General features: G+C 44.6%; 1 protein-coding gene across 76 annotated transcripts in view, besides 1 other annotated feature; it reads left to right on the top strand.

Annotated features, from left to right (window-relative positions):
• Nucleotides 1–17658, top strand: part of SORBS1 (sorbin and SH3 domain containing 1) — a 249599-nt gene that overhangs the window by 37495 nt on the left and 194446 nt on the right. The gene's annotated exons all lie outside the window — the stretch shown is intronic.
• Nucleotides 14292–15918: an enhancer, noted in NCBI's record as "VISTA enhancer hs2353". NCBI's record gives its function as "enhancer in: heart[4/6]" and the evidence as "EXISTENCE:transgenic organism evidence [ECO:0001131][PMID:17130149]".

The raw sequence follows: 17658 nt of genomic DNA, 5'->3' as shown, positions 1-17658 counted from the left end.
CCTGCTAACATTTTGGTGTTGCTTTTGCCAAATACATGAGAAATAATCAAAGCTCACAATCATATCGCTCTGGAAGGGGTATGGCTTATAGGGGGAGCCTGATGTGTAAGCTACTTAACCTTTTAGAGGGGCACAATTCATGTGTGTTTAAGGGATGGTGAAGGCATAGAGGAGAAGGGTTTGTTTCACCTGAACAAGTGGATGTCTGGGAAAGGCACAATAGAACAGGTGACCCTTGATAATCAAGTAGAAGTAGTTGAAATAAAACAGAATTGCATATGGGCTACGGTTACAACCATGTGCTAAATGTATTTTTTAAAAACTGCAGGGAACTGTCCTAAAATAATACTGTGGTTGGAATGTTGATGAATGTGGTTTTATTTTCTCTGGGTTTCCAAATGGGAGTCTATTGCCTCTTATAATTATTTTTCTTAATGCAACACATGCATGTCCCTGTCCTCAGGAACTCAGGGCTGCAGAGCTTGGCTGCAGTCTGCTGCAGGGTCAGGGAGCTTAGAGCCGTGTTCCATGCACCGTTGTCTTTTTCATTAGTGGTAGCTGAGGATGAAGTAGAGAATCTAATAATTCTCTGATAGCCTAGCCCTGGGAGTAGTCTAGTCTTGGGCGTGGAACCTGAAAGTTTTAGACAAATCTTGGAATATAACTCGAATACAGTAGTGCAGATTGCTTCTTTGAAACCCAGTCTGAATAGGTGAGACCTTGCTTTTCCTTGCTGAAGTATTTTACTTAGCAAAGAATTACTTGCTTTTAAACTGTTCAAGTGCAAAAGCATGAGGTAATGGTTTGAGAGGTAAGTGACATTATTTAGGGCATAGAGAAAATGTTTACACGTTTATTTCTGACACACAGATTTCCCATCCCCAGCATTCGTTCCCACCTGCCTTATCCACAGGCAGAAGAGAGGGCACCCAGAACTGAGGAGGGTCTCCAGACATTCTGAAGTCCTGTCTCACTCCTGTCCACCTCTGGGGAAAGGAGAAGTGTAGTTGTTGGATTGCCTAGGGTCCAGATTTTAGTGCTGCTTCTTAACTTGCTGTGTGACTGTGGGCAAAGTCTTGGAGCTCAGCTTTTCTTCTCCAATAAATTGGGATGATAAAATTGGCCTCAGTTGTAAGGATTGATTGAACCAGATAATGTATGTAAGCACCAGCTTAATGCCTGACCTATAAACAGGTACCCAATACAGCATGGCTGCTTTTACTCATTATTACTGTTCGATTGTTAGTGCCAGCCTTGGAAATCGGCTCTTGTGTGTCCCCTAAGTGGCCATGCAGAAAGAACTCTTGCCAAGCATTCATTATCAGTATTTTGCACCCATATGAATGATCTGCCTCATGGTTCTGAATATTGACATGAAGTTGGTGGGCACTAGTGGGATTTGTGGTCCAGCAACCCAAAATAATGTTCAGTGACATTTCTCTTCAGGGATTATTTTTCACAAAAGGCTTTCTATAAGATTGCTGAAGGGTTGTGTTCATAAAATGTCAGGTGCTATGTGTGTGACGGCATTATGTTGATGAAGGCAGTGTTAAACTGGGAAACATGCATATGTTAAGTAGGGACTCAAGAAATAAGTATGGGTTGAATAGAAGAACAAAAGGGGAATAATCAGCAACAAGGAGAAGGAAAGGGAGAAAAGGAGGCACCTTTCGGTTGGGCCTTGGGACCCTGTCAGAACTTCTGCACCCTTCCTGTCTCTCTTTAACCTATAGAACCACACTGGCACCTGGCTCTGAGCTTTATGAGGCCTGGAAAACTTGTGTTCTTGAAGTTAGTGATGTGTCTTCATCCTTTTTCCAGACACCCCCATTTTCACTTTTCTACCACTCTGAGATTCTACTAAGTTCCAGATTCAGTCTTATTGGTGACCAGAAACAAGATAAAATTAGAGAAGGAAGTCCGGGTGTGGTGGCTTACACCTGTAATCCTAGCACTTCGGGAGGCCGAGGCAAGGGGATCACTTGAGCTCAGCAATTCAGGACCAGCCTGGGCAATGCATATTGAAACCCTGTCTCTGCAAAACATACAAAAATTAGCTGGGCATGGTGGCGGGTGCCTGTAGTCCCAGCTACTCAGGAGGCTGAGGCAGGAGGATGGCTTGAGCCCCAGAGGTTGAGCTGCAGTGAGCTGTGATCACGCCACTGCACTCCAACCTGGGTGACAGAGAGTGAGACCCTGTCTCACAGAAGAAAAAAAAATTATGGGAGGAAGCTCTGTCCTCAATCAGGAAGGCCTGAAGGGTGGGAAGATAGGCTTATAAGTTAAGAGAGAATGCCAAGCATGGTGGCTCACGCCTGTCATCCCAGCTACTCGGGAGGCTGAGGCAGGAGAATCCCTTGAACCCTGGAGGCAGAGGTTGCAGTGAGCCAAGATCGCACCACTGCACTCCAGCCTGGGTGACAGAGCAAGACTCCATTAAAAAAAAAATGCTAAGAGAGAAAGGAAGATGAAAGAGTTACTTTTGTCAGCCTCTTAAGATGAAAAAGGATGACTTAGGGCTGACATGCTCCTCGGTTGCACTGAGCTCCAAGCTCTCTGTGTGCCGTTCACCTCTGCCTGCTGGTAAATATCAGCTGTATCTGAAGGTGTGGTATGGCATTCAGTCCCTCTTCATTCTTAACCTATCATGGCCATTGGCGACTGGGAAGACAAAGGGTCAGGCAAAGGGGGTACCTTATTAGCACTGAGGTCTGGCATATAGTAGGTATTTAATAAACACTCGTCTGTCTATTTTCTGGTTCAGAATCCATCTGTGGTAATTACTTTGAATTCAGGGCATGGATAGAACTGGAACCATTCTTTGTGTGTGTGTTGCTTTTAAAATATATTTGAGCAGTAGGACAGATGGTATTGAGAGTACTGAAGTTAATATATAAAAAAACACTTTAAACATCTTTTTGTAGAAATGTCCATTTTAGCAAATTTCACAGAGAGTAAAAGTCTGTTGGTTTCAGTTTAACTGCCAACTACCCTTTCCCCTAATTTGGAAAACCATAGCTAGATCTAATAGATTAGATTCTCAGTCTTTCTGCATTCTCTTAGGCCCCCAGGCATTTATGGCCAGATTGTGGGAGCATGTTGTGCCCTTTGAGTATGAATGCATAACGCTTCCTTTATTTTTAAATACCTTAAAATTTTAATTTCATAAAGCTGCATTTTACTATTTAATTTGAAGGGGTTTGCTGAAGTATATTTAGGCATTTATAAGCTTTTCTTTTGGAGATGGAGTCTTGCTCTGTCGCCCAGGCTGGAGTGCAGTGGCGAGATCTCGGCTTACTGCAACCTCTGCCTTCCGGTTCAAGCGATTCTCCTGCCTCTGCCTCCCAAGTAGCTAGTAGCTGGGACTACAGGCGTGCGCCACCATGCCCGGCTAATTTTTGTATTTTTAGTAGGGATGGGGTTTCACCATGTTAGCCAGGCTGGTCTCAAACTCCTGACCTCAGGCAATCCGCCCACCTCAGCCTCCCAAAGTGCTGGGATTATAGGCCTGAGCCACCATGCCTGGCCTAGAAGCTTTTTTTTTTTTTTTTTTTTTTTTTTTGAGATGGAGTTTCGTTCTTGTTGCCCAGGCTGGAGTGCAATGGTGTGATCCGGGCTCACTGCAACCTCCACCTCCCGGGTTCAAGCGATTTTCCTGCCTCAGCCTCCCGAGTAGCTGGGATTACAGGCATGCACCACCATGCCTGGCTAATTTTGTATGTAGAGATGGGGTTTCTCCATTTTGGTCAGGCTGGTCTCGAACTCCTGACCTCAGGGGATCAACCTGCCTCGGCCTTGCAAAATGCTGGGATTACAGGTGTGAGCCACCGTGCCCAGCCTAGAAGCTTTTTATAAGAAGCTGGAAATGTCTTCAAATTCTGTGTCTGGTATTTATGGTGGTCCACTTAATATTTGTCAGTTTGCTTTTCTGATTTTGCAGGAGATTGGGTGCTGACTTAGTACAATTATTTTGTCAGGTTTTGTTGTGTTTTTGGTGTTTGATGGTTAGAGTGGAATTGCAGAACTCCCTTTTGAAAGGCCTTGGTAAGTAGGGGGAGAGGAGAGCAGGACCAAGGCTATGAGGCAGCTTCAGGTTGGGATGACTTAGCATGGGGCTTTCTCTTTACACTGTTCCCCTTTCTGTATTTTTCCTTCTCCCCCTCTTTCTTTCCCTCATTTCTCCCCACTTTCCTGCTCCTGAAATATTTCATATACATTGCTGGATTTAGTGCATCTAGGATTATGGTAAAAAAGAGGGATTTTCCTTCCTTCCTCCACTCCTCCCCTTCTGCTCTTGCTTAAAATTCAGGTTTTATTTTGACGAACATTTTACAAAGTATCTTTGGCCATTTCCTCCATACCCTGCCATACATGTAAAAGTCAGTATGGGTTTTGCAGATTATAGAGCTCAGGAGTCATATAAAAATGGATGTCAGTTCTTTTGTGACTCCTATTTTGGTTCTGGGGTGTCTGTGCTCACTCTTAGTGGGGACAAGCAGGAGGTGGTAACATTCACAGGTGCTGGTGGCAGCACTGGTCTGTGTGCTGGAGGGGACCAGCAGGAGGTGGTGACATCCACAGGTGCTGGTGGCAACACAGGCCTGTGTGCTGCTGAAGCCTGGCCAGCACCAGGCGCCTTGGCTCCAGCTCTGCCCGTTGCTGATTGCATTTGGCTGTTGGGTTTTTTGGCTTTCTGATGTGTCGTTTGTATCGGCCATTTAGCCTATTCTGTTTCACAGCCTTTTCATCCTAGGAATCACACAACTTGAGCATTTTTGACCTTGTAAGGCTTTGTAGAAGAGACTGTAAATTCCAGATCACTCTGTACAGCAGTGCAGGGGTTGAAGTGAGGGAAGATCTGTTACTTGGACGGATGGCCTTGGCCTCTGAAGGCAGTCCCTGCAGTTGGTCTTGGGTGTATGTTGAACACATCCCAGAGGGAGGTGGGGCTGCACAGAAGACTGCTGATGGGTGTGAGCCCATGGAAGACTTGGAGACTGACACCTGCTTCTTTTGCAGCATATGGTATTTTTTCAGTTCTCTGCAGGAGGGAGGGAGGTTTAGATATTTAAATGTATGGTAAACAGTCTCCTTTCCCTTATTACTTATCTTTGATTCATTCCAAGCCAGTTTCAGGGGGCCTAGTAGAAAAGTAAGTGTCCTCTGTCATTCCTTCCCTCCCTACCAGAAAGCTCAAAGTTTCCGGCTAACCTCCGGTTTGGGTGAGAGATTGCTGAGAGGCAGTGTGGCTGGGTCCTAGGTAAAGGCCAGGCAGATGTGGTTTCATGATAGGTTCTAACTGGCACGTGTTTTTGTGTGCTCAACAGCATCCTATCTCTTCTCTTAATGGCCATCTAGTTCATTCTTTAACATTAGTGGGGAGGAAGCCTCCCTGGGGCCCAGGGAGGTGAAATGACTTACTCTGGGTCACATAGTAGTAGAAGATTCCACACTAGAATTGTATCTCTTTTCTGTTTTATATCATGTTGCATTGAGTCTCCAAGGTCTGTACATACTTCACAGACTCTTAGAGAAACTTATACCTAATATGGTGATGGATAGCTGAATATGGCTAAGAGCACACACTTTGCGATCTGATTTGGGTTCTATTAATAGTTCTGGCTCTGCTACTTATTCACTATGTGATCATGAGTATGTTCCTGGTCTCCCTGAGTCTCAGTTTCTTCATCTGTAGAAAGGGGACCATAACTACCTCATTAGGTTTTGAGGATCACCCAGGACTATTGCTTGGTACATGTAGACACTCAGTACATTGCAGCTGGCAGCATTATTTTCCATACCTTGCTGTAGAGCTCCAAGGTATAGTGAGGCTGCCAGCTGTGGTGAGGCTGGCATCCCTCCACTTTGAGACTGAGGTAGGGAGAACTGCAGCACATCTCAGACCTGCCTGGATTCCTGTGCCATTTTGCTTCATTCAGCACATGCCCTTTGAGCAGCCTGGGGCATGTGCACCCATTGGAAGAGGATGCCTTTGGGTTTAATAACTTGTGCGTTTAATAATCAGCCTTTTTGGCTGAGTGATATGGCAGCAGCAGATTGATTTTATTGGGGCAGAAAAAGAGTTGTGTGCTTTTCCGGGTAGCCCTGAGTCACAGACCGCCAATTTGTTATCTGCACATATGTGCAGTCAGCTGTGCACAACGTCCTCTTCCCTGCCCAGCTGCTCTGGTGTGATTCATTCTACAAATATTTGAGTACCTACTGTGTTCCAGGCACAGGACAAAGTACCAGGGGAAGATACATTGATGAGCAGAAACAGACCTGAGCCCTGACTTCATGGGCTTTGTGAGGTTGTGGGGAAAACAGGCATTAAGCAAATGAGGGTAACATTATAATCAGTGTAAGGCTATGAAGAGCAAGTACATGGGGCTACTGAAGCAGGTACTAGAGAGATTTGACCTAAGCTGGAAGTCCAAGGAAGGTTCCCAAAGAAGCGGCAAGTGAGCTGAAGGAAGGCCAAAGGTGTGAGGAGTGGGTGAGGGCCGGACCCGACTCTTGTGCCATCCCCTGAGCCCAACACCCTTCCTTCTTTTCCTTGGTCCTTTAGGAGGCAGTTAATCCTCTTGCAGTCAGTCTTGTTATAATTTCAGATGTATTTTATTTCTTTTCAATTGCATAGGTTTCAGGGCAAAAATAGAATATGGCCTCTACTTTAGGAGTTCAACAACAATGCAGCCACTTGTTGAATATCAACTGTGTGCATTTTCATTGAATCCTCTCAACCCTGGAAGGTCAGTATTAGGATTCCCAGGCGAAGAAACTGAGGCTCGGAGAAAGGCTAAGTAACTTGGGCTTTTGTCTCCTGTTGGTTACTGATTAGAAAGCTGGGATTTTAACCCTATGGCCCATTGCCAAACACTCTTGTGTCCTCTGCCTCTCCCTCTCAGAGACAGCTTTGTGGCTTGACCTGGGGATCCAACAACTATCTCCATGTCACGTCCATGGGAAAATGCAACCTGAGTTCCAACCCTCCAACTTGAAAATGAACTTTTGGCGCATGGCCTGTTTGTCGGTTGAGGGCTGTTGTCTTAATTCTGTGTCAGAGAGGCATTGAAAATCCAGAATTAATGGAAGATGGTCTTGGAAATAGTCACTTGAGGTGAGTGACAATGGACCAGATGAAAAGAAAGTCAATTTCACCCCTGTTGTGGCCAGTATACCTGTGGAGCGTGGGGAAGAGAAATGGGTGTGGGCTGGTAACTTTTAATTATTTAGAGTTAAGTCTCTAATTTTTGTGCGCTTTTTTAATGAGTGGGCTCTGGGTAGGGGTAATCTATGCTAGTTACTTCATCTATCTGAGCCTCAATCTCCTCTGTAAAATGGGATAATGCAGCTTATCTACTTCAGCACTGCTGTGAGATTCAAATGAACTACAGAGCCTTAGGATTAGAAGAGGGTATCAACATTTGATATATTATCAAATGTATTAAGATAATACACTTGAAAGTGTTTTGTAGGCCTGTGTATATGATGCTACTTTTGTTGATCTACCACCGTGGTTCATGTTATTATTAATAGCACAACACACTGGTTCTTAAACTTGAGCTGGATCAGAATGACCTGGAAGGCTTGTTAAGACACAGATTGCTGGGTCCCTCCCCCAGAATTTCTGATTCAGAAGCTCTAGGGTGGGGCCAGAGGATTTTTATTTCTAACAGGTTCCCAGGCAATGCTGCTGGGCTGGTGACCACACCTGAAGAACTACACTACCCAGATCTGGAGCCACCAGGCCCAGCTGGTGCCTCAGACCTAGACAGTGACAGGTAAAACCCACTGACCTTGGTGGGGGGTGGGTGTGGATGTCAATTCAGGGCTATCGTGTGGCCAGACAGAGCTGAGTTGGCATTGGCGACCCTAGGTCAGGGACTGTGATGTCTGGAGTAGGGTGGAGGCAGCTACTCTGCTCTCTTGGGTCCCTGAGGACTTAATATGGCCGCTGGCAGTCACCATTTCTCGGGGCTATGGTTTATGGTGCAGAAGGTACCTCTCTCATAGGGTGCGTTAGGCCAAATTTGGATAGACCTATCCACACTGGTGAACTCCTTCATTCTTGAGGCTAACTCAGCTCCATCCAAGCTCAAGCACCCTTGGGCTTCTGTAAAGAAATCATCTTCTTTCTAATGATTTTCCAAGGGTGCAGTAAAGGGAGCAGCCGCATTAATTCTGGGGCTGGGTGGCTGATCCTGTCTCATATCCTGTCCCTCATCCTAAGAGATTTCCTACTTCCTGCTCCAGCCACACTCCTTCCTGCCCCCCAGCCCGTGTGTGATTTCTGCTTAAATCTCTTTCTTAGTTGAGATAGACAACTTTTTAAAAAATTACCCCCCATTTCAGAATAGGGCAGGCTGGAGCAGGCTAGCAGCAATTTTTGTATTTTTGGGATCATATTGAGTGGGATCATTAAAGTCACCCCGAGAAATGGTGACTGCCAGTGGCCATATTAAGTCCTGAGGGACCCAAGGGAGCAGAGTAGCTGCCTCCACCCTACTCCAGACATCACAGTCCCTGACCTAGGGTCGCCAATGCCAACTCAGCTCTGTCTGGCCACACGATAGCCCTGAATTGACATCCACACCCACCCTCCACCAAGGTCAGTGGGTTTTACCTGTCATATTGAGTGGCTTGCTAAAGATGCAGATTCCCTGGCTATCCCCTCAAAGGTTTTAATTTCTCAGGTCTGGAGAGATCGCAGAAATTCTGATGCAGGGGTCTGAGAAACATACTTAGGGAGATAATCCAAGAGAATTGGACCTGCTTTTCAGTCTGCTGACAAGTGGATACCACTTTACTCCAGCTACCCAGTGCCCACGAGCCCCTGCTTGGACATCTGTCCTCTTTAGAGTCTGTGCCTGAAAGCCTATGCCCCATATTTGAGAGATGAAGCTGTAGTGTGGGAGGGGAGTGGGGCTTGCTTAATGGTTGCCTTCTTGGTTAGCCAGCTTCAGAGTTTCCATTATGGCCTGTAAAGAGGTCTTTTTACCTGCAGTGTCTTCCATCGATATTCTGCCTCATATACACTCTACTTCTGCCTCAAGGCCCAGTATGAATCTGAAGTCGAAGTGACTTTTGTAGCCCATACTTGGTTCCTGCTCACAACTTCTCTATGAATGATGATGGGTCTTCTGGTTTTTCTTTTGCCTTGTATGGCTGTCTGATTAGCTTCCATTGGGCTGATTTTATCTCTGAAATTATATTGTAAGCATCATGAAGGTTGTGGGGTCTGCATGGTGTTGGGCATACAGTTATCGATGATTATGGATAACTTGGTTCACCGTGATGTTTCTGGGGTGGAGTGACCACTGTTTGATACCTGGTTTGACAGATATCAAAACCATGGCAATAAGGGTCTAGAATTGGCTTGATCTCCACAGTATCTCTTAGATGCAAAGATGTTTTAGGTATAGGGCTTTGAGTATCAGTGCCATCAAATAGTACTTCCAGGGGGAACCCCAGACAAGTCTGGGTCCTAAGTGAAACCAGAGGTTTTAGCCAGAAATAAACCAGCATCAGGAAGGGAGCTGGTCAAACACTGTTCCACTGCATCAGTGGGTGGCAGAGGTTGCTGGCAGGACAGAGTTAGCTGGCATCAGTCATGGCAGAAGATGACTCATAAGGCTAGTTGAATGTGTGTGTATGAGTTTGTGTGTGTCAGAGACAGAGAGAAAAAAGATTCTTACTTCAAACGGCATTCTTCCTGTGTCTCCCGAGGATGTATTTTTTCCCCTCAGATGTTTCTTTTTTTCTACATAATAGTCAATGTTCAAGATTGTGTAAAAAAAAAAAATTAGGAAATAATCCAAGAACCCAATATTCAAAAGGGCCTGGGCAGACTGTCAGCATTTTGTCAATGGCTCTTTCTAGCCTGGGTTGCTTGTGTGGTAGCATGCCAGATCTATCCAACAAGATTGCCACTTGCTTTGCCTGTTCTTTGCTCTCAGTCTAAATAACTTCTCAATTCATTCTAGTCCTTTTAAATTTTCATGGCTTGCTGCATTTCGTTAGCTCACTTAAAATGAGAACATGGAATCAATACAGTACAACCACAGACCCAAAGATGGTTAGACTTAAAAGAGTCCTTTCTAGATGGTCCCATGTGGCCAAGGGAGATCTTAAGCTCCTTGGTGTAAAGGTCCTCAGCCCAGGTGTCCCATGTCTGGTGAATTTAATTTTCTTCTTTCAGCCCTGCACCTGCCATCCTTGCAATCCTGCTTTCCCTCTGTTCTTCCCTCAGCCAAACTGATGTGTGGTCTATAGAGAGAAATAGGTTTCTCAGGCCTGAGGTAGCTGGAACCATTTAAGTACAAGGAATCCAGTGTGGAAAGGGGTGTTGTTCAGATTGCATTTAAAAATGGGTTGGGAATAACACTGGCTGTGAAAACATTATCAAAAATCTGCAAAATCAACACTCTTTCTTCCTGGTAAACATGAAGGGCTCGGCAGCTGCACCTCCCTCACGTGTGTTTGGCCAACTGCTGCTTGGGACATTGTGCCTCCCTCAGCGGCTCATGGGTGCTGATTGGAGCCAGGATTGGCTCTTTGCTGGATCGAAAGGTGTCTCAATGCTCTGAAATGCCATACCAGTCAAGGGTGCAGTTGAACTTAACGGTAGCGTATACCCGTCCATCTGGGTTACATGCGCCCCACATCCCTGTTGAGGTTTCACTGCGTCAAGACCCAGGGCAGGCAGAACTGACCCTCCTGCTTAGGCAAAGGTGACTTATGGGTGATTTCTTTCCATCAGAATCCTCACCCTCTCAGTCACCGCATAACCTTATACAAGAGAATTTGTTTATTTCGGAGAATCAGCCCACACACAGGTTTGAAGCAAGTCCAAAAGGAACATTTGCCACTGTGTGAAACTTGTCTCATCTTGCTGCTCTTCGATGAGAACTGGTCCACTACTTCGCCCTGACCCCCGAAGTTGCCAATATCATTTGTGGAAATCTTACTGTTTGGAAATTTACTGGTTTCCCCGAACAGGAGCTATTTGCCTGAGTTTCTTTTAGAGAAAGCTGAACTGCCTTTTTGGCACTCCTTGTCTTCCTTTTTTTTTTTTTCCCATGTATCTTCATAAGTAGATGGCTTGGAAATAGTTACCAAGAAGAATACAGCTGTGTACTCCAGTCTAATTTCCTGGAGCGTGAGCCATGTCAAAGGGCTCGGATTCTGTTTTTGACATGGACTCAGGGATGTGCTGCAGATACAGTAGCAGGTGGGCTGATTTCAGGGGAGCATCTAACCGGAAAAGCATCTAACCAGGAACCTGTGGCTGAAATTGGATGTGGGGGCTGGATGATAAGGCTACAGGTAGATGCAGTGTTGGCTGAATTATTAGATCAGATTTACATCCTCGATTCAGAAAGCTTCTTATGGTACTTAGAATTGTGCCTGGACCTGCCTGGACCTGTCCTGGTCTTTTTTTTTTTTTTTTTTTTTTTTGAGACAGTCTCGGTTGGTTGCCCAGGCTGGAGAGCAGTGGTACAATGTCGGCTCACTGCAACTTCCGCCTCCTGGGTTCAAGCAATTCTTGGGCCTTCAGCCTCCCAAGTAGCTGGGACTACATGTATGCGCCACCATGCCTGGCTAATTTTTGTACTTTTAGTAGAGATGGGGTTTTGCTCTGTTGGCCAGGCTGGTCTCGAACTCCTGATCTCAAGTAATCTGCCTGCTTTGGCCTCCTAAAGTGCTGCGATTACGAGCGTGAGCCACCACGCCTGGCTGTGGTCATTTTTGATCAGACGCTGGAGCTCTGGAGGGCAGCCCTGTGAAGTGGGCAGATCTCTCAGAGCTGGGAGAGAGAGCTTACACTTCAAAGAGTGATCAGCACCTAACAGCTCTTTTAACATGTGTCTAGCATCTAGGTTACAAAAAAATCCTGTATGTGTAGGATGGGGGTGACCTGATTTTTAAAGAAGCCCTTGTGAAGAAAGACCCATTTTGGATGACCAGAAAAAGGAGAAGGCCCTTCTTAGAGGGCTGGAGGAAGAGGTGGTTCTTTAGCAGCATGCTCTGATAGCTTTGGGTTTGTCTTCTGGGGCAGTTGACTCTCCTGAATGGGGTGATGCTGGGCTGGTACCTCAGGAGCAGAGTAAGTTGGCTCTGACACTAGCCCTCTTCCTACTAGCCGTCTCTCCTCTAGAAAACTACCCTCTCCCTGATGCAAGGCCTCTTCCATGTCTATACTGGCTTCTCCAGGCAGGAGCTAGGGCTTTTCTCATTTCTGAGAGTTTCCAACTCAGTCCCAAAGGCTGCAACTGCCTTTGATGTTGAGAAACGACAACGACAAAAACAAGCAAGAAACAAGGCAGCAACATAGGCTTTAGGAGACAGACGTATCAACAGGCTGGGCGTGGTGACTCATGCCTGTAATTCCTGCACTTTGGGAAGCCAAGATGGGAGGATCGATTAAGGCCAGGAGTTCGAGACCAGCTTGGGCAACATAGTATGACCCCCATCTCTGCAAAAATAAAAGTAGAATTAGCTGGGTGTAGTGGTGCATGCCTGTAGTTGGAGTTACTTGGGAGGCTGAGGTGGGAGCATGGAGCATCCCTTGAGCCTGGGGTGTTGAGGCTGCAGCAAATCATGATCTTACCGCTGCACTTCAGCCTGAGCAACAGCATGAGATCCTGTTGCTCAGGAAAAGAAAAAGAAAAGTTATAAACAGAAGGCTTTGTATTTCAGTTTATAACTTAAAAATAAGGAGCACTTAATTCGATTCTGCAAATGTGGAGTAATAAGAATGTGATCTTAGTTCCACATTGCATCAGGTTACAGGTGGCACAGAAAAGATACAGGTGTGAGAGCGGAATAAAACAGGAAGTTGGGGTGGAGAGGAAAGCTAGTGACAAGTAGGGTTGTAGGGAGAAGGAGAAAGCAAAGACAGGCTTGCATGGAACGAGATAAATGTGCATGAGCAGGCTTGTGAGCAGAGTTAGAAAACAGCACAATTTGAGGTGGAACCAGTTTGTAGTAAGGATCTTCTCTTAATGCTGTAATTTATGTCCAGAAATTCTGAAAAATTACATCTTCGCTTTCATTTTTTTTCCACTTTAAAAATTTTTGACAGAGTCTCACTGTGTTGTCCAGGCTGGTCTCAAATTCCTAGGCTCAAGTGATCCTCCCCAGTAGCTGAGACTATAGGTGTGAGCCACCATGCCTGGTAATACCTTCACTTTCCAAAAACTTTTGACAACCTGACATACCTACCTGTCCTTTTAGAATGAACGCTTGATACTGACTGATGGTACTGTAAGAAGCAAAGACCCTATTTATTTAATAATCTTCAAAATAAAATGCTTTTTCTCAGGACTTCAAGACCAGCCTGGCCAACATGGTGAAATCCTGTCTCTACTAAAAATACAAAAATTAGCTGGGCATGGTGGCAGGTGCCTGTTATCCCAGCTACTTTGGAGGCTGAGGCAGGAGAATCACTTGAACCTGGGAGGTGGAGGTTGCAGTGAACTGAGATTGCACCACTGCACTCTAGCCTGGGAGGGAGAGTGAGAATCTGTCTCAAAAAAAAAAAAGCTTTTTCTCCCCCAGACAAAAACCTTATTGTCTTTAGATGAGCCCAAAGAGTTAAAGAAAATTGTCTGTATTGATACACGAATATACATATATGCATACATAAAAAGAGAAAAGGAAATACTTTCATATCATCCAGCAGTTTTTTTCTGGGTGGTAATTTTATGACTATTTTTTCTTTTTTTGGTGGGGGGAAGGGTGAGTTATTTTCTATCTTTTTAAAAACAGTGAACAGTATTACTTTAATCAGAAAAGGAGTTATTAAGATATAGTGCTCTGGTTGAAACATATGGATAAACAATATTTAAATACAGTATTATTATTTACCTAAAGTGTTATTTACTTTTTATAGCTTAAGTTTGGAAATGCATGCATTTAGTGTATATTAGCCCTTCCCCTGCTTTCTTCTAGCTTTTAAAATTTGTAATTTTTACCAGAGTTACACAGGCATAGAGTTTCAAGAATCCAATATTTCTACATGACTGCAGTCTCCGACACCGTCACCGTTAGCCCCCTGCTGCCCCGGTGGCAGCCACTTTAAAATCTTAGCTGATTCTTTTGATATTTACTTCCACATTTGATAGTAACCTGTATGTTTTACTACCTTTTGGACATCATCTGTTAACTTATCACCATGTAAGATGAAGATTTGGTTCTCTTTTCCTTTCCCTTCTCATCCTTGTTTTTTTTTTTTTTTTCTTCTTTTTTTTTGAGGAAGAAAAATCCTGTCTTCTCTGAAAATCTTGGGTGTCAGGCCTTATCCGAGAGGGACAAGGTTTCCTTATTTGGAATAATATGTGCATTCTTTGGCCTTTTGTGATTTTGCCAATAAGACTTTTAAAGTCTGCTCCAAAACTCTAAGTTATTGGCTTGAACTGGGCCATGTGTTGCTATGAGCTCTGTAGACCAAATAAAACCAGGGGATTGTCAGAATCTGGATTGAATTTAAGGCATCTCCTGGAGGTTGTTTTTTGGACCAAATTACAGATTACCAATTATTTTATCCTTTGCTTTGGTCATAAAAGTAAGAGTGTAGAGAAAATATACAACCCTAGTTCATTGTTTGCTGGCCTCTGGAAAACTTGGGGCAAGGGGGCGGTCCTAGAAGGTACCTTCCTTGAGCTCTCAGTTTCAGGAAACTCTCAAAAGACGGCTTCTGTTCATATTTGGTGATGTACAGGGTTTGTGAGGCAGTGTGTGGGGGACCCAGCTGGATTTGTATAAAGTCCCAAGAAGTGCTCCTTTTCCAGAAGGGCTGCTACAATCCAATCTCAGGAACGTGGACTGTTATCTGAGTTCTGACAGTTTCACTTTGTTCCCAGGGCCACCCCCAGTCACCTCCAAATTCTTTGTATAATTCCAGAGGCCATTCCTCTGGGCTTATCCTGCTTCCTCCACGCTGGTGAATAACTCCCACCTCCTGCCCTTTGTCTCTCTATTTATGGCCCTTCTGAGTTCTGGAGAAGACTTCACTGGGACTTACGTCAGTGAGCTTAACATCTTTCTCATTAATGAGGAATGAGAGAGAAGGCAACAGGACAATGCCCCCATGGCTTCCACTGTAAGAAAGTTGAAGACTGTGAATCTTAAAGTTATTAGAGCAGTTGGAAGCCACACGGTTTTAACAGTTCTACTTGTGTACCTCTGGCAATGAGGAACTCACTCTCTAGGAGCCACTCTTTCCATTGTTGGATAGCTCTTCTCATTGGAAAGCTCTTTCCCGCTGATCTGACATTCGTGTCTGGAACTTTCATCCATTTCAGAGGATAGGAGCATTCTTGACGGTACAGTTTGTCCAACCAGTCAACACATTACTCTTCCTTTTGTTCTGACATAAGTGGTATAAAATGAGGTAATAGATGCATTTTGAAAAAAGTAATGGCACTATACAAATGCAAGAAATGTTATTGATAGGCTTTTATGGCTTAGATGAGTCTGACTTGAACTTTCAGCATCATATACTCCATTAGTCGAGAACATTGCAGTGACCTTTTTTAGGAAGCAGTTTCCTGGAGATTTAATCAGTGTAGAAAAATACCATATTCAGCCTTTATTCCACAAAAGTGTCAAATATTTACATGTCTGAATAGTCTGGGCTGGGTGTGCCGGCTCACACCTGTAATCTCAGCACTTTGGGAGGCTGAGGTATGAGGATTGCTTGAGCCCAGGAGTTCAAGACCAGCTTGGGCAAAATGTTGAGATCCCATCTCTACAAAATACTAAAAAAATTAGCTGGGCGTGGTGTTGCACCCAGAAGTTTGAGGCTGCAGTGAGCTGTGATCATGCCACTGCACTCCAGCCTGGGCGACAGGGTGTGACTCTGTCTCAAAAAAAAAAAAAAAAAAAAAAGTCTGGGCCACTACTCTTTTGGCTTAGATGCCCTTTAATTTCTTCCTTTCGCTTTCCTTTTTTTTTTTTTTTTTTGATAGAGTCTCGCTCTGTCACCCAGGCTGGAGTGCAGTGGTATGATCTTGGCTCATTGCAACCTCTGCCTCCTTGACTCAAGTGATTCTTCTACCTCAGCCTCCCGAGTAGCTGGGATTACAGGCATGTGCCACCACACCTAGCTAATTTTTGTATTTTTAGTAGAGATGGGGTTTCGCCATGTTGGCCAGGCTGCTCGAACTTCTGATCTCAGGTGATCCGCCCTCCTTGACCTCCCAAAGTGCTGCAATTACAGGCGTGAGCCACCGTGCCTGGCTGCCCTTTAATTTCTATGTGTCCCGTTTTGTTTTTCACATATCTCCCTCTATGTGATCATGTGTGTGTGTTTAGTTTTAAAATTCTGTTTTTTTGAGAGAAGAAAGATATTGAGAGCTAACTCTGATACCTTTAAAAATGAAATTCTGAAGTTGAAGATTAAATTACTTATACATTTTATTAATTGATATCTTCCAGGAGGAAAATATCGTGTTTTGTGCAAGGGAAGATCAGGCTCTTTTTGATGAAGGGATAGCAGAATGGTTAAGAACAGGCTTTCTGAGTGGTGGCGGCTCTGTAATCCCAGGGCCTACCCATCCCTCACCTCTAAGTGCCTGTATTCCTTCCCAAGTCCTCACCCACCTGTGACTAGATATGGTTAGGGAGGAGGACCAGTTTTGTAAATACCAGAACAAGTATCTTCTAACTGTATTTGAGTCTTGATAAAGATGAGTCTAACACGCAGCTGTTGGCGGGGAGCAGTGGCTCACGCCTGTAATCCCAGTTCTTTGGGAGGCTGAGGTGGGCAGATCACCTGAGGTCAGGAGTTCGAGACCAGCCTGGCCAACATGGTGAAACCCCGTCTCTACTAAAAATATAAAAATTAGCTGGGCCTGGTGGTGTGTGCCTGTAATCCGAGCTACTTGGGAGGCTGAGGCAGGAGAATCGCTTGAACCCGGGAGGTGGAGGTTGCAGTGAGCCAAGATCATGCCATTGCACTCCAGCCTGGGCGACAGAGGGAGACTCCATCTCAAAACAACAACAAAAAAACCATGCAGCTGTTACACGTTCTCCCACCTGCCCTAGGATTTCTCTTACCTTCGCCCTCAAACGCTTTCTCTTTGGAAAAATCACTTGGGTGCAGTTTGTTGAAACTGGTCAGCAAATTATTCTTCCCATAGCTCTGGCATAAGTCTCATTAGAAATGGTTTTATGAAGCAACCGTAAAAGGAGCTGGTTTTCTCAGTATTTAAGAAAACTCTTGTTTTCTAAGTACTGAGTGTATTGCCAGAGGTTCAGTTTTGTTTTTCTTACTATGATTTTGATTTATTTGAGTCTGATAGAATGGTATCAGTGACATGAGGAATAATTACAGCATCTTTTGAAATTCTATCCTGGAACCCCACCAGGAACCGACCCAGATTGGTGCCAAGGTACACATAATAGGTTTTAGGTTTTAAAAAATACTTGTTGGAAATGCTAGGCTTTTTGATACTTAAAGAGCATTGTTTTAGTGGGTGGAGTTCTTTTTTGATCCTCTAAGTTTAAACTTCTTAGTTCAGGGGTGGCCAGTGACCATCCTGTGTTGTGAGAGTTTAAGAGGCCTCTGAGAGGCAAGACCTGCATTTGTATGTGTGTGTGTGTGTGTATGTGTGTGCACATGTGCACATACACACTCACATTTGTACTTCT

This window comes from Homo sapiens, chromosome 10 (assembly GCF_000001405.40).
Source record: "Homo sapiens chromosome 10, GRCh38.p14 Primary Assembly".
Classification (NCBI taxonomy): Eukaryota; Metazoa; Chordata; class Mammalia; order Primates; family Hominidae; genus Homo; species Homo sapiens.
The sequence above is the reverse complement of the archived record's forward strand: the minus strand, read 5'-3'. Positions and strand labels throughout refer to the sequence as shown.